This window comes from Homo sapiens, chromosome 18, assembly GCF_000001405.40.
Source record: "Homo sapiens chromosome 18, GRCh38.p14 Primary Assembly".
NCBI lineage: Eukaryota > Metazoa > Chordata > Mammalia > Primates > Hominidae > Homo > Homo sapiens.
The window spans coordinates 78,080,947-78,101,884 of record NC_000018.10 but is presented as its reverse complement, the minus strand read 5'-3'; the positions used below and the strand labels follow the sequence as shown (position 1 = coordinate 78,101,884).

Sequence of the window (20,938 nt, the reverse complement as noted above, 5' to 3'; positions counted from 1 at the left end):
GTCTGCGGCTGGACGAATGGTTCTGAATGGCAAGGGGCTCTGGGCTTTGGCCTAAGTGTGAGTCCTCCCCATAGGGGCAGTTGCAGCTTTGGACATGAAGGCGGTTTCTCAAGGAAGCATTGAGAAAAAAAAAAATCAGAGGGAGGAGAAGAGAGCATCTCAGGCCAACACGGTGTCCATGACAGGATGGCTCTGGTCACTAATGGACATTTTATAAAGAGTGAACAAAGCACCAGCTTCATGTCATTATTTCCTCATCTCCAGGGTGATTATCTTTGTCTAAAATGAGACCTGTAGGATTAACAGGTAAGAAAGAGAATGCTTGATGCACTGGAGGGCCGCGTCCTAACACCGAGAGATTGCAGGGAAGGAATCAAGCTTTTCCTAAAAGGCAGCCACTCTGGATGGCCCTTAAGTGGGGACCCTCAGCCTCCACGTAGCCACAGGGTCTGCACCCTATGGGTCCTCCAGCTGCCTTGCATGATACCCAGACGTGTGTATGCAGCGTTCCATGTTTGGGACCCCGGGATCATCAGGATGAAGGAGGAGTGTATTCTCCATTTTACTCGCATCAGACACAGTGTGGATGCTGCACAGCTCACACACCGACGGGCCGGACTTCCATCCAGACAGGACAGGGATGTGGCCAGCAGGAGCAATGACCCAGAGAATGCCTTGGGGCACGAGGTCCCTTCTGGCACCTACAGAGCTTGGGCTTCTCTTTTGTGCTCCCTTTGCTTCTTGGAGATTTGGGAGGTGATGAGCTAAGATTTTCAGATCACACTGCACTTCTGAGTAGACTTCAGTGTAATTAAGGCTCCTTTCCATGTCTCCATACACACACACACATGCACAGACATGCATGTACACACACATATATATATTACATTCGTATACAAAATGTATGCATATATAAGATTTAATATATTTTTATATTTCTTTATATCAAATTGGCAGATGTCACAATTCAAAAGATATCAATAAATAGCTGAAGTTGGTTCCAAGAAAGTTCGAAGGGCAGCACAGTGAAAAATTTTTAGGAAAAAAAGGAGAAATAGACAACTTAAACTGCTTATAAACACTGAATCATTGATACGTGTGCTTTAAGATGCAAATCCTTTCCACCCCGAACACAATAAAGGCCTGTTTGTGGAGAAGTACTCAAGAAACTGCTCCAAGGAGATGCCAACAGTGCCTCAAAGCAAAGGCCTGGCTCACTGTCCTTTAGCAGAAAAACCGAGGCCCACGAATGAGGGTCTATGCTGATGACATCTGTCTCAATTTCTTGGATATTTTAGGTAAATGTACGTCAGGACGATTTTGTTCCCTTTCTATTTCTCTTTGTAATATGCGACTGATCTTCGTGTCCTTCAGGGCATTAATAGCTACAGCTCTGACATCTTCATTCTGCAGGGCTGGCCCGAGGGGGATTGATTGAGAGGTGCGTGATTGGTAGTTAACAGGTGTGGCGCCTGAGCTCCTGTCCATGCGCGGGAAGCGGCACCATGCTGAAAGCCAACCCGCGTTTGCTGGGAAGAGATGCTTTTGCAGGGTGCTGAAGGGCGGTTCTTAAAACCAGGTCCACACAGTCAACAGGAACTCAGACATTCTGATGCAGCTTATGAGGGCATTTCCTAGCCTGGAAGCCGAAGCTCTCATTTACTTCCCTTTTCAACTGGAAATTCTGGTTTATGCCTTTCGCAGGTGGATGAAAGTTCTCATTTCTTTCACAATAGCCTTAGCTAGATGGAATAGGGCTGATCAGATCAAATGGGAACATTTGTTTCCTGTGCAATCAAGAAACCCTGTGTAAACATCCTCAGTGTGGGGATTGCTTCCAAGTTTTGTTTGAAAACTTGTTTTTTCCTTCTTCATCTTTTGGACAGAATGAAGACAGTATGCCAGCACCTTTTTGGATATATACATCAGTAAATCTTGGACAGCGTAAAGGGATAGCAACAGAGAGTTCTGATGCTGCCCCCTGCACCCACCCGTGGAGATGGGGATGAATAATTAAAACCTTCGTATTTTGGCAGATGTGCAGACATTTTCACAAACCAAAGCTATCAGTTAGTCAGTCGGGTTTCCCTTATTATTGCAGTGCTTCTTAATTCTTATATATATACAATTATGTTTGGGGAAACTAAATAATAAAAACATTGTTGGGTAAAAATCAGAGTTTTTTATAACCTCATCTGCTGATTCACTGACGAAGCTTCTCTTCAATACGGCCCTAGGACTTCCCATCCCGTGATGGGAACCCACACTATACGTATATACCAAATACTCTATGTACAGACATGCATCACGCCATGATGCGGATACCTCCTGAGAAGTGCATTGTTAGGCAATTTTGTTACCGTGTGAACATGGTAGAGAGCATGTACACAGACCTAGACGGCATGGTCCAGGCACCCCTAGGCTGTATGGTGTAGCCCATTGCTCCTAGGCTAGAAACCAGCACAGCACGTAACTATACTGAATACTGTGGACAGTTAAAATACAGTGATGAGTATTTGTGTATATAAACAGATCTAAACACAGGAAAGGTGCAGTGAAAACATCGTGTTGTCATCTTCTGAGACCACCCTCGTATGTGTGGTCTATGAAATGTCCGCATGTGGTGCACGATGGTATTTGGCCACTTCACGAAGAGAGGAATGAAAGCTGTGGGCTTACAATTTGTTATTTCAGAATTTTTATACAAAAACACATCTTTGAAAGCTCATGCAGACAATGAGTAGAAATCAGAAGCTTTAAGAATTCAATTAAACTGCTTGCAGACCTGCACCTTATTTGGACATATGAAGTAGGTGTGTGCTTTTCCTACACACCAGATGAGACAGGGTCTTTGTTTTTCAGATTACAGAACATGAGGCAGGAAAGGCATCCCCCTGCTTTAGCATTTATACCTTAGACATTTGCTTTTATTTTCCTGGAATATTTCAGATAAATGGATCTTCTGGGCCTGCCTTTGACTCCACGACACAGGGGAGAGCTATGCCTCGGAGGACCAAGGAAATGCTGCTCAATCTTGGCATGTAAATTAATTGCTAAATCACAATGCAGTTTCTATGGAATTGCATTTGAATGCAAGATTAATAATGAATGAATTAATCAAGATTAATTTTATTATAATGAAAACCAAAGGATCTAATGATGATTGGCTGCTTGTTGTTGAGAGTTGCCTTATAAATATTCACATTTTTTGGTGAATTCCTTGACTAGTGTCGTATATTTGAGGGAGTCTTTCCTCGATAGCTCTGTGTGTCATATGGGAGAGGTTTCTGCAGGAACATCTCATTTAGGAATTAATTTCCTTGCTAGACTTTCCATCCCTGGAGGGAGTCCCCAGCTAATGAATTGTTGAGGAAATATATGAATTTTATATTTGGAAAATAAAGCCTCAAATGTAAGGAAAGGCTCTTTTCAGTGATATTTCTCTCATTCAATTATCTTGACATATTTAAGAAAATTAATTCAAAATAAAATGAGGTGATGTTTTGGAAAATGTCAGGGCATTATTTCAATTTGAGTAATTGAGGTTATGGTTTGGTTACATGTTAAATAATCATTTAAATTTAATTCATTTACATCTATCAAATCTACATAACACCCAAATGAAATGGAAGAATGTGGTGTTTTCCAAAGGTAGCATTCTCTGTATTTTCTGAACTGAAAATGTGAATATAGATAAATTTAAAATAGCACCGGGCTTAAGATTGTTTTTGCAGGGCTGATGTCGGTTCCTGAAACTAAGACAGCCATAATTCCCAGTGGGGTTGCATCCGCCTCAGGCCACCTGCCCTGCTCTCCATGCTGAGGCCAGCACAGTCCATTTCCATTTCCAATTTCTCACCCACTGGTCCATCCTTCCCCACTACATTGTGGCTTCAAGACCTCCTTGGGAAATATTTCCATGTGGTCACCAAAGGCTTCCTCCAAGGGCCAGAACAAAAAGATACTCTTTGGTGTTATACTTTCATTTAGCTCTAAAGCACTGGATGTATTGAGTGTCCCCTTGATATGGTTTGGCTGTGTCCTCACCCAAATCTCATCTTAAATTGTAGCTCCCATAATCCCATGTGTTGTGGGAGGGACCCGATGGAGGTAATTGGATCATGAGGGTGGGTTTTCCCTTGCTGTTCTCATGACTGTGCATAAGTCTCAGGAGATCTGATGGTTTTAGAAAGGGCAGTTTTCCTCACACATGCTCTCTTGCCTGCTGCCATGTAAGATATGCCTTTGCTCCTCCTTCACCTTCTGCCATGATTGTGAGGCCTCTCCAGCCATGTGGAGCTGTGAGTCCATTAAACCTCTTTTTCTTTATAAATTTCCCAGTCTCAGGTATGTCTTATAGCAGCATGAGAATGGACTAACACACCCCTAATCCTTGAGACTGTCCTTTCCTCCACTTCTTTTCCTTTTCCCTCTTTCCTGGTCTAGCCCTTCTCCACGCCATTCCCGAGCTCTTCTCTCTTGCTTGCCCCTTACACAGGATTTCTAGATAGTGTAATTCTCTTTTTCTTCCCTTTTCACACTCTCCAGGAACCACCCTGTGTTGGAACACAAGTTTAGCTCCCATCCATTTGCTGATGACACTCCATGTCTCTTCCTCGGCCTTGGCCCCCACCCCCATCATTATGTGTGTGCCTACTGAGGTCTCCCAGGCATCCTCACCCCAGTGAGCCCAATGGCACATCCTACGCTCCTCCCCACTCATCTCCTACATGCCATTCCATGTGTGTTTTCCAAAGAGCCTCATCATCTTCCATGGTGGAGACACTGGTGTGATGGTGGTGAGGGAATCCTGCACCTGCCTCACTGAACCCCCAAAGCAGCCTCAGTCACAAACCCAAGAGCCAGGCCCTAAGGATCAGGGTGGGAGGCTTGGGACACCCTCTAAGGACAGCAGGACTTGTTCTTGGCTTAGATCTGCCATCTGGAGACCCTGTGTCTTTGGTCACGTAACTTCCTAAAAGTCCATGGAATCTTCATGCCATCTTCCCTAGTTACGTGTGTGTTTGCCAAAATTTAACTTGGGTTATTTGGACTTAAGTTTTTGTAATGTTTAGCCATTTGATGTTTCTGTAAAACCTTTATTAACTTTCATACTGTAAATAATGCTATAATTTTTTTTTGGAGTCTCGCTCTATTGCCCAAGCTGGAGTGCAGTTGCATGATTTCAGCTCATTGCCACCTCTGCCTCCCAAGTTCAAGTGATTCTCGTGCCTCAGCCTTCCCAGTAGCTGGGACTAAAGGCACATGCCACCACACCCAGCTAATTTTTGTATTTTTAGTAGAGACAAGGTTTCACCATGTTGGCCAGGATGGTCTCGATCTCCTGACCTCATGATCCACCTGCCTTGGCCTCCCAAAGTGCTGAGATTACAGGCATAAGCCACTGCATCTGGCCAATTTTTTAAAAAATTATATGACTATTTTGAAATAGCCACAATTTCAGTGTTTGTCAAGGCATTCTCGCAAAGTAATATTTCATAATCATTGGCTGCCAAAAATTTTGCTAGGCAAGTAATGTAATTATCTCTAATCCTCACCAAATGTCTGCTTTTAAATCCCAGGCTGATAAATGAACTCACTGGAGTTAAGAAAAGCCCAATTCTTTGCTTAAAGTCACACGAACAAATAGCCAAGATTCTAACCTTCGGGTCTTTTTTAAAATTCTGTGCCTTTCCCACTATACCTGCTATCTTTCATAGAGACTCAACAACAAAACAAATGAACAAACTTTTACCCTAATTAAAATCAATTCTCCTGACTGTACTGTTTACAGTCACAAATGCAGCACGCTTCTCCAAATGCTCCTACGGCCCAGGAGACTAAATAAAGTTTTAGCAAACTAATTCCAGAGCTTAGTGCTTTTCTAACCCATCAGTCTATAGATAGGAAGCATTCAGACTTTAGGTTTGGGTGATTCTTATTTCTTTTTTCACACTTATTTTTGGGCAAATATTAAGTTTCATTTCACATTTACCCCTTTGTCAGGAAAGAGTATTGATGTACAGTAATTTAATGCTCATTTAAGAAAGATCTCATGTTGGGCCAGGCACAGTGGCTCACACCTGTAATGCCAGCACTTTGGGAGGCCGAGGCAGGTGGATCACAAGGTCAGGAGATCAAGATCATCCTGGCTAACACAGTGAAACTCCGTCTCTATTAAAAATACAAAAAAATTAGCCAGGTGTGGTGGCGGGCACCTGTAATCCCAGCTACTTGGGAGGCTGAGGCAGCAGAATGGTTTGAACCCAGGAGGAGGAGCTTGCAGTGAGCCGAGATCGTACCACTGCACTCCAGCCTGGGCGACACAGTGAGACTCCTTCTCAAAAAAAAAAAAAGAAAGAAAGAGCTCATGGTTTGTGCCTATTATATTTCTAAAAGATAGCTCTAACCAAGATCCTTCTTGAGCAGGGCTGAATGAAGCTGTCTTTTTAATAAGCAAGAGATGTTTTTCACTAGGAGACGGCAAGAAAGAAGCACAGGGGCTTTGGAGATTCACATCAGTAATGGTAAAGAAGAAAGGATGCTGCAGGCAGTGTCAGAGGCAGGAATGATCAGGTGTCAGGGCCACAGAAATGTGCTCTATTTTCCTCTGGAAAATGTTGGTTAGTTTGATTTTTAACCAGGATATTCAATCACAATGAACTACCTAATCCACAGATGCCCCACACCACCCGCCTCCCACCCCATGCAGCTTACATTTCCTGGGATTTAAGGGCAAAATGTTTTGTGATTCAGACTGTCCAGGCATCATCTTGCATTTTATGTCAACGGGTAACTACTAATTTTCCACCAAGGGTTCTTTAGAACTGACATTAAAAGCAACTTAAATTCTAATTAGAAACACAATGGAAGAACCTGACTGGGCCCACTTTTGTAGAATTCTTCCTCCTCATTAAGATGAGATTTAAAGCTAAGTAATAGGATCTGTCAACCTCATAAAATAACCTACTTTGGATGGTTCTTTATTACAATCTGAAAAGAGTTTTCTGGCAACTTAAGGGAAAGAGAAAGCAAACTAGTGTTTACTGAGTCCCTGCACGGAGACCAGGAATGCATTTTAATATTCACAACCCCCAAGACAGATCACTTTACGATGATCACTTCACAGGCAAGGAATACGGGGTTCCACAAGGTGACGTCCACCTGATGTCACAAACCTACCACAGCAGGACTTGAGTCTTGCTGTGTTCCAGAATCCATGCTCCCCCTAAATGCACACTATTTCCCCAAGATATGGGAAGTAATAAATGGTTTTGACATAGGAGACTGGCAGGACGTGTTTCCTGGTCACAGCCCTGCTGACCCAAGCAGGGTCCGGTCCAGACAAGATAAAGTGAAGAAAGCCATGGGAACCAGCAGATGCTGCTCAAAGCAATCCCTGGCTGCCCTCACTGCTGGCTGGCATAAAGATGCTTCCACCAGCGCCATGACAGTTTACCAATGCCATGGCAACAGCCCAGAAGTTATCACTGCTTTCAGTGGCAACAACCTAGAAGGGGCTGCCCTTTCCTAGGGAGTCCTTAACTCACTCTTCAATTTGCATGGATCCACCCCTTAATTTGCATGCAGTTGAAAGCAGGTATAAGTAGAGTGTGGATATAGGCGTCAGGAGCCCATAAGCTGCGGACTCTGGCACACTTCCTGTGAGTTTGTCCTGCTCTGCAGAAAGCAGCTCTGGCTTAATGAAAGGTTCCTGCCTAACACCACGGGCTCACCCTTGGATTCTTCCCTGGGCAAAGGCGAGAATCCTCCTGGGCTAAGCCCTGATTTCAGGACTCACCTGCCCACCTGCATCACTCTTATCACTCACAGGCAGGAAATGAGACAGCCTTCCCCAGGAGACCCAGGTATCATTCTTGTGCGATAGGGATGGCAGAATCCAAGATGTGCAGTGCTCTGAACGTGAGAAAACCTCACTAAGTCTGTTCTTACATACTGCTCTAGTTATTTTATCAAATAATACGTTTGATATGTTTGGTCAACTTCAAGACACTTTTTAAAGTCAGAATCTGTACAGTTAAAGTAAGCAGTCCAAGTGTTAATCTGAAAACAATTAACAATAAATACACCAAAGAGTGTCAATATATTCTAGAAACACAGGCAAGTTGTGCCCCTTTAATTTACCTTACCAAATAGACCCATCGTTTTAAATGTAGAGGTCCTTTATTGGAGAAGAAGTCTAGAGGTCAGAGAAAAATACATTGAGCATATAATTTGGAAATGCCATTAACATAGTATTTCCAACTAAGTTCACCAAATGTCTCCCCACGTTTCTCATTCCCTGTGGTTAGTTCTTACACCGAGGTCCTCACCATCCGGGGCAAATGAAATGTAAACAATCACATCTCATACAGAAATAGCAGCACTGACTTCGTTCTCACCATTTCACCTACATCAACTTCTAATCAAAGGGTCTTTGGTACTGCCATTAGAATAATATCACTACTCACATTTTAAAACACACTATTAAATACTCTCAAAAACAGAAGCCATAGCCTGGGCAACACAGTGAGATCCCATTTCTACTAAAAAAACACAAAAAGTAGCTGGACGTGGTGGCACATGCCTGTGGTCTCAGCTACTCAGGAGACTGAGGTGGGAGGATTGTTTGAGCTCAGGAGGCAGAGGCTGCAGTGAGCTGAAATTGCACTACTGTACTCCAGCCTGGGTGACAGAGGGAGACCTTGTCTCAAAAAACAAACAAACACAAAACAAAATGAAACCCCAAACCCAGAAGCCTGGGTGTGGCCCACATGTGGTTAAGGCTGAATGTCTCCTGAGGGCATGGAGGGAACGCAGCACACACACACAAGGCTCAAAGTAGAAACAAATGAGTTCGTGGAGCAGCCAATCTATGTGAAGCATGCACTGCCTTCTCACACTTAATGCTCATGCTTTACAGATGAGGAAACAAAGGAAGATTCAGAAAAGGAAGGCAAATTATTCACCCTCTTCACTAACCCAAGGCCAGTCAGTCCTAGAGCCCAAAGTCACATGGCTTCCAAGGATCCACTGAATCAGAGCCATACCCTTCCCAAAAAATAAAGCTCAAGGTTACTGTCGTCCAGATTTTTAAATAATACCAGGAATCCCCTAGCCTGCCCTGCATTACAGATGCAGATATCATGTTCAAGTCTAAATACATCATGAAAAGGACTATGTACAATGGGTTTTAATGCAGTGCTGAGACACAGAAAGTACTTAAGGTCGAGCCTAGGCCGCCAAATGTCAGGCCAGCCCTTAATTTTTGCAGGGCCCAGGGTAAAGTACAAAGGGAGGCTTATCTGCCAAATATCTACATATTTAAAAGTTACGGCCGGGCGCGGTGGCTCACGTCTGTAATCCCAGCACTTTGGGAGGCCGAGGCGGGCGGATCACGAGGTCAGGAGATCGAGACCATCCCGGCTAAAACGGTGAAACCCCGTCTCTACTAAAAATACAAAAAATTAGCCGGGCGTAGTGGCGGGCGCCTGTAGTCCCAGCTACTCGGGAGGCTGAGGCAGGAGAATGGCGTGAACCCGGGAGGCGGAGCTTGCAGTGAGCCGAGATCCCACCACTGCACTCCAGCCTGGGCGACAGAGCGAGACTCCGTCTCAAAAAAAAAAAAAAAAAAAGTTCCACAAGATTTTTTTTAAAAACCTAATAAATAAAATAAATCCAGTGTCCCACCTTGGTAAATACATTTCAGCAATGACTTACTCTTTCCAGTGCTGGTTAACAGGCCAAGTGCATGCTTCCTGAAACTCTCCCCGCCCTCGCGTCACTTGGAGGCAGCAGTGCCCAGCTGGAGCCATCAATGAGTTGGGGGAGAGTGGCTACGAGCAAGCTGCAGCCTGTGGTGAGCTCAAGGATGTTTCTAAGTCCAGAACCAAGGTGAGAGCCTTACTGGACTTCAGTGTTTCTGGGATGGGCTCAGGATGTGCACTTGTCCCACGTTCCCAGGGGACTAGCTCCCTGTTGCCCAAACCTAAGACCTTTTGATAGAACAGAATGTTTTTATTTCAGTAAAATTGTCTTTATTTAGCCAATTAGGAAAAATCTTCCCAGAATCAAGTGTTTTCATTTTTAAAGAAGCTAATTTAAACAAAATTTACCATTTGATTATTGAAAATTGAAAGCAAATTTTTCTAGAGCATGAAGGCAGTACTTTGGGAGGAAAAATCATATGCTATAAACAGTTTGATACAAAACGTTGGGAACAAAATAAGAACATTTAGAACTAATATTGATTTTCCATATCCTCTTATTTTCTCTTACTGTTCTTCATAATGCATTTGTGGTTAACACAAAAATTAGTATTTAATTAGTATTGAAATTAGTATAGAAGTTCATGGTTAACACAAAAATTAATATTAGTAACACTAATTCATAAACATCAGTATTTGTATTTTGTGTTTATGGTTAACACAAACATTAATATTGAAGTCTAATATGGACTTAGATTTTAGTACTATCGATCTAATGCACTAAAGCAATTTGCCGAGGAAGTGTAAAAGGTGGTATTCTATACTGGGGGAGATAAGTAGGCCAGAGAAGAAACATGTGGGTCCTTTGCAGGGAACAGGTGTGGGCTCCCCATGGTGAACGCACCATTATTGCTATCTCAGGGTCATCTTCTCCCAGGATTCTAATGAACAGCCTGGATACAAAGAACTCAAGACAAGAATAAAACCTGGAGCTTTGGGAGGCTTGAGAAACTGGTTTCCACACCCCTCATTCTAGCAAAACTCATTCATGCTGGATGGCAGTGCAAAGGGGTCAAATGAAGAGTCTGGAATAAAGCCAGGCAGATGGGATAGTGAGATACAGGAGCAATGAAAAATACTTCTCCAGACACTGGAATTTGCTGTTTCCCCCTAATCTCTGATTATCATAACTTCGAATGTTATGAAGCATTCCGATCGATCGGCCTAAGTGCACTTTGTGTGGGGTGATAGCGAAGCACGATCCTATCTACTCGCCACACCTCACGTAAGAAGCAGGGCATGCAAAAAGCCATCTACATTTTTGTGCAATTGCAGGGAGCACCACATAAAGCCTTGTGTACATAAGCAGAAATATTACACCCTTACGTGGATTTAGCTTGCCATATAAATGAAGCACGTATCAGGTTTATACAGGTTTCAAAACCATTAGCACTGATGGCTTTTAAGGAGAGCCGTGTGCTATGACTCATGCTTTGCTCATTTGTGCCATTTGGAAATTAAGTATTCTTAATTGAAGTAATGCACCGCAAGTTTCAATGGTTTTCAGCAGAGGGGACACATAATTCCACTGTAATTCGAGAATGATATTCTAATTGATTAATTGGCTTTTCTTGTAAGGTTGCAAAGGAGTTTTCAATGTAAAAAGGTTATCCACATCTCAGCAAGAATAAAAATGCTAGGATTGCACGATAAATTAGTGGTGCCGTGGTGGGAGGAAGTGTGGAATGAGATGACTACTTTACTCTCAACAAGTGGATTCTATTTTTTAATTACATACATTTATGGGGAAATGCAAAATAAAGCAAAAATAGAAGCAAAAAACAAACAACCAAAAAAAAAAACAACCCTAAGGCCCAGCCATGTTTGAAAGAAGAACACACACATATTCAAACACAATGTGACAAGGCCGGTTGCTGATGTAGAGATCGCAGCTGATTGGGGAGAATGCACAGAACACTCACCCTCTTTGATTCCAGAAATCCACCCTTTCCTTAATGACACAGGCTTTTAAATCCAAACGAAAGCTCATTCATCATTTGCACATCTATCCCTTCCCAGTATCTTTCTTTCTTACCTTCTTGGGCCCATAAGAACATGGCTGAGTGGGTTGGGCAGAAAAGAGATGGACATTTCAGAGAATAATAGGAAAGGATCAGGGAGCTGGAAGAGTTTAACTTTGATAATAGAAGGATTTAGATAAGACGAGCTAAGACTTTATAAAAGGTTATGGCCAAGAGTCTCCTTAGTTTGCCAGGCAAGCAGAAGAATGTCATGGCAGCTTTCACCATGAAGATTCTTGCTGCTCCAAACTCGAGATGTGGACTAGGGAACATTTCAGGTGCTAAGTGCGTACGGACTCTATTGCAAGATCAGAGTTCTCTGAACCAGCGGTCCCTAGAGTTGAAATCCTTTCAGAATTCCCACCCTGGTGCTGCAGATCTGGGGGAGGCCTGAGACCATGCAAGTCAAATCAGCCCCTGGGTGGAGCCCATGCTGATGATGGCCCCTGGTCCATGATTTGAGGAGCAAGGGACTGGCTATCAGAGGAAGAGAGAAGGAAATCACAGGTCTTGCTGAGGAGCAGTTATTAACATTGAAGGGTGAAAGCATATTCTAAAGTGAGACTATTTTCTGCAGCGATGTCTCTAACATGGCTGCAGAAGCTGAGGCTTTGCTGTGCCACAGTCAAATAAGTTTAAAGATCAAAACAGTTTGTGACAACCACTTTACTTTGTTTTCATCCCTCTTCAACTCAAGGGCAAAACTTGCCTGAAGACATAGTGATTTCCTAATGGGGACCTGTCCCTAAGCCTACCATGTCTATCATGCAGTAATGTAAGAATTTGCCTGCATTATGAGGGTCAGAAAGCCTCCCAGGAGGTCTAGCTTTCAAAACGGCACCTTCCAACCTGCTTCATGATGGACTTCAAAATGTATTTCTGGGTTGAAAAAATCGACACTCTTGCTTTATATTTGGTCACAATATTGGCAAAAAGAGTGAGCCACGCAGATCATGATAATAAAAAAAAACCCACAAACTATCCTTCGGGGAGGATTTTTGGAGTAAAAGTCATTTTATGTGGTATATAAAGGATTTAGAAATGATGGTGACCTTTGTTGTGACGACTGAAGATATTTTGGGGGAGAAATATATAAAGCCCTACCCCCTTTTTAAATGGTAAACGTTTCTCTATTTCTCTCTCTGTCCCTCTCCCAATCTTCCTCTCTCTCTTTCTCTTTCTCTCTCTCTCTCTCTCTCTCTGTCTTGGTCTCTCTTTCCCCACCCACCCTGCCTCCTGGAGGCTCTCATTTTAAACAGGTATTCACCAGAGAAACTCAGAGCTAAAAAAATGCCGTTTGGAAGATGTGTTTCCAATATCAAAATTTAGCAGGAAAAAACGTCTGCAGATTTTCTCTTAACCCTTTGCATCTCCTCTCGGCCAGGTTTTGACCTCTGAGACGTGCCCGCCTCCTGCGTGTGTGCGCTTGACTCTTGGCCGCCCACGGCTCCGCCACTCGGGTTCCAGCGCGTCCCCTGACACTCGGAGGGCCACTGTTCTTTCAGTCATGGTTCAAAGCAGCCCTGAAAGAATCATGAAGTGACACTGTGAAATTACTGTAAAAAATCGTGCGGCGGTGTCATGACATTCTATAATTGAGAACTCCAGCCCTCAGAGCTCTATCCAAGCCCGTACGAAGGAAGGGAAAATCCGCGTTTTGACGGTCACATAAGCCGGAGACGTGTGTGTGAGATTGTGTAAACTCGGCCATGTAGAAAGTGAGCGCATGTTCCAGTCTGTGCCCCCATGAAATTGGCACAAATCATCTGGATTTGACTTCAGGAAGGTGGTTAGGGGGAACAAGAGTGTGCAAACGAGGGGGTAATGGCCACTCAGTGACCTAACCTATGTCACAGGGCAGCTGCTGTGTCAGCCAAGGATCAAATAAAGATGGATGAGCCGATCACAGCCGGGCTCTGCCTCATTGGGCCCAATTGCCTTAAACAGCAAATGTTCATAGAGAAAGATGAATAGGGCAGCCAGGTACAGTAAGGAGTGGAAAAGTAGAACAGTGTGGCTCACAAATCGACTGGAGTGTAAGAAAGCCTTGGCGTGGCTGCCCTTTTCTGAAATGTGATTCTTAAAGGGAAAGCAGTGACATCAATCCTGGCCCAACACTATTCTCTCAATTTAAGGAGTGAGAGGACCAAAGTTCAGCACTTTGAGCCTTCACACGGCCAGGAGGGCACCTGACTCTTCCCTCAATGTTCATAATTGTTTTCATCAATGCTATTCTTACATTTAATTGTCGGCACTGTCCTTCTCCAAAAGAAAGTCATTGGTACAGAGCTATGTCCACCCACTGTGCATCTAATTGCTCTACTTTGGAATAAGACTACCTTTTAGAGCAAATTAAATAATAATATCAGATATTAATAGGTCTCAGGGATCCAGGGCTCCCTCAGGTCCACAGTGTTTTCTGAGGTAATCGGCACCCAGCATCCATCACCCAGCCCCAAGCACCCAGCACCCAGCATCCATCATCCAGCCCGAAGCACCCAGCCCCCAGCATGCAACACCCCACCCCAAGCATCTAGCACCTAGCATCCAGCACCCAGCCCCAAGCATCCAGAACCCAGCATTCAGCACCCAGCACCCAGCATCCATCATCCAGCCCCAAGCACCCAGCCCCCAGCATGCAACACCCCACCTCAAGCATCCAGCACCTAGCATCCAGCACCCAGCATCTATGGAGGAAAGAATTAAGCTGCTCCTTGCCCAGCAGGGGGCTCATGACAGCCCAGTTCAGGACTCTTGAGCCTTTGGGTGTAGAATTTGCAGCTTCTTTCATCAGAAGGTAGTTGAATCTCCCATTATGTATGCATATATTTTTGGTAAGTTAATTGGACTATCAGAAGTAATTTAGAACTTTTTATAAGCAAAATTGCTTTTAGCTTTTCACATAAACTCCCACAGAGCTCATCGGTGGGGTTGGCGGGCCTCCGCCACACTGCCCAGGCCCCCAGGGCACGCCGGTCAGGCCTTCTCTTGGTTTCCAGGCAGACAGGAGCCCATCGTGTACCCGCCAGGTACTGAAGGGCGTGATGGGCCTGCTTGTCACAGCAGCATTTGGAAATTCTCAGTCGTCCTAACCAGGAAATGGGACGTCACACATGTGGGTGTGGGATATGCAGCCCCTGCATTCTTAAGCCTCATACATGCAGCCTGGGTGGGTTTTGCTGTCCTCACGTCACTAATGGAAAAGCTGAGCCGTGGATGGACTGGTATTTTTTATCAGAGCCCCCTGGGCAGTGCTCTCCAGAGCGAAGACGAGGAGCCAGGCCCCTCTTGTTGTCAACTGGCTTGTGCTGCGAGAGGGATCGAACCCCAAGCAAGGCAGGCCCAGCTCCCTTGTGAACACCCAGGCCCATAGTCGCGTGTGTACATCCATGCAGCCATGCACAATACATGCGTGTATGTACATGAACACATACATTCATGATAGCAGAAAAGGTTCTTCATCAGAGAAATCAATTAGCCATATGTTTCATCGCAAGAAAAATCCTCACCAATGATGGTCTATTGAAGAGAGAAAACAAAGATTTGAAAGAGGCTGGTTCTTTCAGAGGCATATGTTTCATAGTTGCATTCGGTTTATTTAAAAAGACATGAGGAGTTTTTCTAAGTCTATACTATGTCTTCCCGTACTCCCTAGTCTTTCAAATCCCTGTTCTCAGTGTACAAAAATGCCAAGTGGGTAGAATGCGGTAAGAGAACACCAGCATCACAGATCACGGGGAACAGCCATTCCAGAGAGCCATTTGTCCCACACAGGACGAACGAAAGAAGCACCATTCTCTCCGGAAGGCAATCCTTGGAAATGTCTGGTCAGAGAAGGGGAGGAGCGGGCCTGGTTTCCCTTTGGATGAGATGAGATGCCGTCTTTCAGACTGTGCCATGGACAACTCTGAAAACCGGCACACTCTCCACAATGTGAAGCTTAGCAGGCCACATTCTCTCTTGAACTCAGTTAATTTGCGGTTGATTTTTGTTTTAATTTGGGTCATCCAGTCTTGCTTACCTTTTAATGAGAAATGAGTCATCCTCAGTAATATGGGAAACGCGAAGTTGAACCCAGTCCTGCTCGAATTCCTCCACGCTAATGACACACCTGTGGATGGTGCGTCTAAGCAGGAAGTGGCGGCTGACTAAACGACTCCGAATGCGACCAGATTAATAAAAACCAGGGTGCTCTGAGGCGACAGTGAATCTCCTTTTAAGGACTCGTATGATAAAACTGCATATAAATAAAACAGTTAACATCGTAGTTGATATTACAGATAAACTCATACGGCCTGCTGTGCCAGGCTGGGGAAGGACGCGTGGCCACGACGCCTGTGCTGTTTCTCCAGCTGCCCCCTGGGCCATGAGGACCAGGCCCTGAGCCGGACACGGCCAAGCCGCGTGCATGAGCCTGACCCTGTGTCTCCGTCTGCGCTTCTGCCGTAAGTGCCTTTCAGCCATTCCAGGCTTCGTCTGTCTCTGCTTCACCTTCCACAGCTGTGGCCTCAGTGTCCCCTTAACGGGAAAGTAGGCGCATGTGCATTGTCTTCTCAGTGTGAGTGCCGGGCTGCGGGGCTCCTTCCCGCTTCACGAACAGCCCAAGCCTGGCTGGGCGAGGAAGTCCTTGCGGGCAGCAGGCTCCTCTGTGCCAGGCTGGGGAGAACCCGTGCCCCACGTTGGGATCACACACCAAGCTCAGGGACCTGTTAGAGGTGCCCCGCGTGGAGATCCAGAGGGCGGGAGCAGAAGTCCTGCCTGCAACTTGCCAGGGTGGACGCACGTTCTGGACATGGTTTAAATCCCTTCATTAGCTTCATCCAGCCACAGTTTCATTATCCTTAAAATGGGCGTAAGGGTTTCTAAAACATGAGAGGAAATCAATGAGATTCCATATATAAATCATTCAGCACAGGGCAGGCAGCCCCCAGGAGCAGGTCCTGGCCTCCGTATTCCTGCCTCTATCAAGCCGGGGTTCACTCTCCCTCCTGTGAACCTGCATGGCTCTTGCAGACGTCTGTGCCTTTGCTGATAATGCCGGTTCCCCATCCGGAAGGCTCTTTCCTCTTCTCCTAAACCCGGGCATCCTCCCTCTGAGGTTGCCCCACCCCATTTTTATTTTCCTCCTCCTCTAGCTTTCCAGGTTACGGTGTCTGTAAAAACTGCCTCACAATTAATTTTTTACAATCATACCTGGCCACACTGTCTCCTACGACTGTGAGCTTCTCATCTTTGTAGAACAGACCAGGATTCACCTTGCACTCTAATGAATGAAAGCGTGCAGTTACTAAAATGTTCATGTATTTTAAAAACCCAGGCTTAAATGTAGACAGAGTGAGTCCTAGAAAGCCTTTTGGGTTGTACTAGGAAGCACCCTCATGCTCCCTAAATTTCATTTTTAACACCCTGGAGCATTAAGTACTTACCACTAATTAAGACCTCATCAGGAATTGGTTGATCAGACCCCCTCTTTGTCAGCACTGACAGGAGCTCCTTTGAGGTCTTGGGAAGGTGCCCACCTGTAGGGCAGGGTCCCAAACCCACGGGCTTGCAGCTTCCAAGGCGGAACTCAACGGTGATATGTGATACCTGCTTATTGAATGAATGAATGAAAGATGAACAAACAAATGACTCAATGTTGCACACAAGGAAAGAGAAAGTAAGAGCCTGTGTTTCCATCCTAGAAAGGATCTGGAGGGATAATGCACATTTGTCTCTGCTTACCTTTCAATTGTAACTTACAGATCACTTCCGGGGGCATCTCTTCATCCACTCGACAAACGACAGGACAGGCCTGCAGCCCTCTCCCACCTCAGAGACTGCACCTTTGAGGTTCCGGAGGTGAAGAACCCCAGGGCCTTCAGCCAGGGCATGACCACTCGTGGACTCAAGTGGACTCCTCTTGGTGGGCGCAGTGCCTCTCCCACTTTCTCAGAAGAGGAAAGTGTGGGGTGTGGAGGGCGGGGTGAGGGAGGCCACGGAAGGTGGAGGCGGCTGGTGAGACGCTTGTGTTTCCAGGCCTGAGCTGTTGTGGGCACCTGAAAGAACTGGCTTTAAAAGGCAGCGACTCGGTCTCAGGAAGTCGGTATTTTACACAGGAAAGAAAGAGATGGGAAAACAGTAGCAAAACCATAAATACCGAACATTCCAACCACGTGTGATGGAGAAATGCCTTCTTCCTGCAGCAAATGCAACTTGCAGAATCATTCAGGGCAGCGATCATATCTTTTCTTGTTTTTGACTCTTACCTGTGTACGTGGCAAAGGCACAAAATCAATGCCCAAGGATGTGCACATCATCAAGCTCTGTGGCACGCTGAACTCAGTTACTTCCAATTTCTTAATATGTTTCAAAATCCCTAAAACAAAGCAAAAAATTTCATCATCCTGGATATCATCAATCCTAATATTTCCCTGAAGTGTATGCCATATATCCCATCTTTCTCCTCCTGTGTCTAACCTTACAAAAAAATAAAATAAGGGCAGGTGCAGTGGTTCACACCTGTAATCCCAGCACTTTGGGAAGCCGAGGCAGGTAGTGGATCACTTGAGGTCAGGAGTTTGAGACCAGCCTGGGCAACATGGTGAAACACCGTTTCTACTAAAAATACAAAAATTATCCAGGCATGGTAGTGTGAGCACCTGTAATCACAGCTACTAGGGAGGCAGAGGCAGGAGAATCACTTGAACCCGGGAGGCAGAGGTTGCAGTGAGCCGAGATTGTGCCACTCTACTCCAGCCTGTATGACAGAGTGAGACTGTCAAAAAAAAAAAAAAAAAAAACTAAAGGGGGAAACTAAAATGAAAGGGCCAGTCTGTCAATAGAAAAGATGATTCTGATTCTGATTCTGATGGGAGGGGCATAGTTGATTTACCTGCAAGAGAGCAGGGCACAGAGCAGGTGCTGGTCTCTAAGGTGAGTGTTTTCCTTCCAGGATCACAGCTGGGGAGACAAAGGAAAGGGAGTCACAGCTGAGAGGCGTGTGAGGCCCCTCCCTGGGCATTTCAGCCCAGCAGGAGCATGAAGGCTGAAACAAGAGAAGCCGAAGTGCTGAGAGAGACCCCAGCTGGGGAAGGGCAGGCAGCCAAGGCCAAGGGCCTTCCCACTAAGCCTCCTGTGGGACGGCGGGCGGGGCCAGTGCCATGGTGGGCCTCGGAGAACCTTGTTTCCACTCTTTGAGCATCACCTCTACTGTGCTTGGTCCAATCTTCATTCCAAGCAGCTGATTAAAAACATGAAATGAACATTCATAGAGCACGTGGGCAAATATTCCATGTAGTCTGTAAGCACAGTTCCATTCAAATAAACAAGACCGTCTCTAGCTGGGAAGTTGCCTTCAAGAAACACTTGGGAGCCAGCTCCAGGTCCACTGGTGCACCATCTGTTTGCGTGGTAAGGTGCCCTCTCACAGGGTGCTAGCCCCAGGCAGAGCCATCAGGGCACAGGGTGGAGCAGGACAGACTCCTCAACGAGGCAGAGTCCTCCGGGATCCCTTACACTCGGATGCCAAATGCCTGTGGAGCTGATTCCTTCTTGAGGGTGGTCCGTTTTTGAACCCATGTCAACATTAGGGTTTAGTTTCTGAGTGTTTTTTACTTTAAATGTCTTATGGCCCTCCCACCCTCCTTTCCTCTGAAGGACCACTTCCACCTTGGGTGTATGTGAAGTCTGGAATCAGAAGTCACGTTTCCCTTTTGCAGCAAGTACAGAAAATAAATGCCATAGAAAACCTGGTATTCTTGGTTGTTTAATCAGAGGGATCGTATTTATCTTCTTGCATTTAGTAGAGGTGTTACAACTACTGAAATGAGACATGATGTCATGTACAAGAGGAGGCAAAACTGTAAAAAGACCTATCTCCACACAAGGTAGCTTAGACCCACACATTTCTTCAGGGTTGAAAGACAGATGTTTGTGAATGTCTGCGAGGGGCCGAGTTCTCACTCATTGGTTCTGTTTCTCAACAATGAGGGCTGCCCAGGATTGGTGTCCCACTGGGGGTTCAGTTTACAAAAAATAAAAACCCAAACCAAAGCAAACAAACAAAAAAAGGCACAACATTTTGGAGTTCCCTAGCAAGGATGGATTGGTTAAAAATCTCTAAAGAAGGTGCCATGTGGTCAGGCCCCTGGCCCCAGACACTTCCACACTTCCAGGCCCCACGAATCTGCCCGCCTCCCACTGCCTCACAGGCTCTGGCAAATTTCTGTTAGCTTTGCAGCTTTGATACTTTCAAAAGCCAGTCCTCTGTATGAGCAGCATAGTATTTAATTGGGTGTATAGTGTTTATCACTCCAGAATGGCAGGTAACGTTCATGGGAAGAATACAGCAATGAGTGATGGCTTTGGTGAGACCTCAGTACCTACTAAGGCAGGCAATGTTAACAACGGTGAGATTCTTAGGAAACACGCAACGCACGCTGGAGATGTGTGGAAAGCAGCATGTCTAAAAGCAAGTGTGTGTGCCTGTGTGCTCCTGCGTGTGTGTGAACGGAGACTGGGACTATGTGCTTCCAAGTGTGTGTGCCTGTGTGCTCCTGCGTGTGTGTGAACGAAGACTGGTGATATGTGCTTCCAACTGAAAGTAGGTGTGTTAGAGTCATTTAGGTTTTTTTATATCTAAAATATTATATTTTTGAAAATCATGGTAGAAGGTCAGTCTGTTCCTGAGAAAATTTTTAAAAGTCACATTTAGAGAGAAAAAAAGGAATTGCTCTACGATTGTAAAATTCTTGCAAGACTATCTTAAGTTTCTTAAATTACCTTCTTGCAGATTTTGGATTCAACTCGGCCAAGAACAAAGCATGGGCAGCACCCGGCCTAAGTGCTGAGCACCCGGCCTAAGTGCTGAGCACAATGGGCAAAGAATGAAGCTGAAAGGACATCCGATGGCTCTAGTATTTCTTTCTATCTATTAAACGGTGCTCAGTCTATGGGAGCAACCAAGATTTTAATTACAAATTGCACAAAATCACCTAACCTTGCGTGTGTGTTTAAGCAGCAGTATTGCAATATTTACAGGACAAAGCAACACACAAACCAGTAAGGCCAGGGCACGGTCAAAGTACAGGCTCCAGTTGGATTTGAACTACTGTAGGGCATGCAGAATTAGACAGTGATAGTTTTAAAAACAAAAGATGAAAGAGTAGA

The 20,938-nt window shown here is 45.1% G+C and overlaps 4 annotated features.

Annotated features, from left to right (window-relative positions):
• Positions 13,233-13,734: an enhancer, noted in NCBI's record as "H3K4me1 hESC enhancer chr18:75848151-75848652 (GRCh37/hg19 assembly coordinates)". NCBI's record gives its function as "activates a minimal SCP1, AML or CMV promoter by ChIP-STARR-seq in naive H9 embryonic stem cells {active_cell/tissue: H9 hESC(naive)}" and the evidence as "EXISTENCE:reporter gene assay evidence [ECO:0000049][PMID:30033119]".
• Positions 16,352-17,551: an enhancer, noted in NCBI's record as "MED14-independent group 3 enhancer chr18:75844334-75845533 (GRCh37/hg19 assembly coordinates)". NCBI's record gives its function as "activates an origin of replication core promoter dependent on BRD2, BRD4, P300/CBP and CDK7 cofactors, and independent of MED14, by STARR-seq in HCT116 cells {active_cell/tissue: HCT116}" and the evidence as "EXISTENCE:reporter gene assay evidence [ECO:0000049][PMID:35650434]".
• Positions 18,494-18,994: an enhancer, noted in NCBI's record as "H3K4me1 hESC enhancer chr18:75842891-75843391 (GRCh37/hg19 assembly coordinates)". NCBI's record gives its function as "activates a minimal SCP1, AML or CMV promoter by ChIP-STARR-seq in naive and primed H9 embryonic stem cells {active_cell/tissue: H9 hESC(naive and primed)}" and the evidence as "EXISTENCE:reporter gene assay evidence [ECO:0000049][PMID:30033119]".
• Positions 18,995-19,495: an enhancer, noted in NCBI's record as "H3K4me1 hESC enhancer chr18:75842390-75842890 (GRCh37/hg19 assembly coordinates)". NCBI's record gives its function as "activates a minimal SCP1, AML or CMV promoter by ChIP-STARR-seq in naive H9 embryonic stem cells {active_cell/tissue: H9 hESC(naive)}" and the evidence as "EXISTENCE:reporter gene assay evidence [ECO:0000049][PMID:30033119]".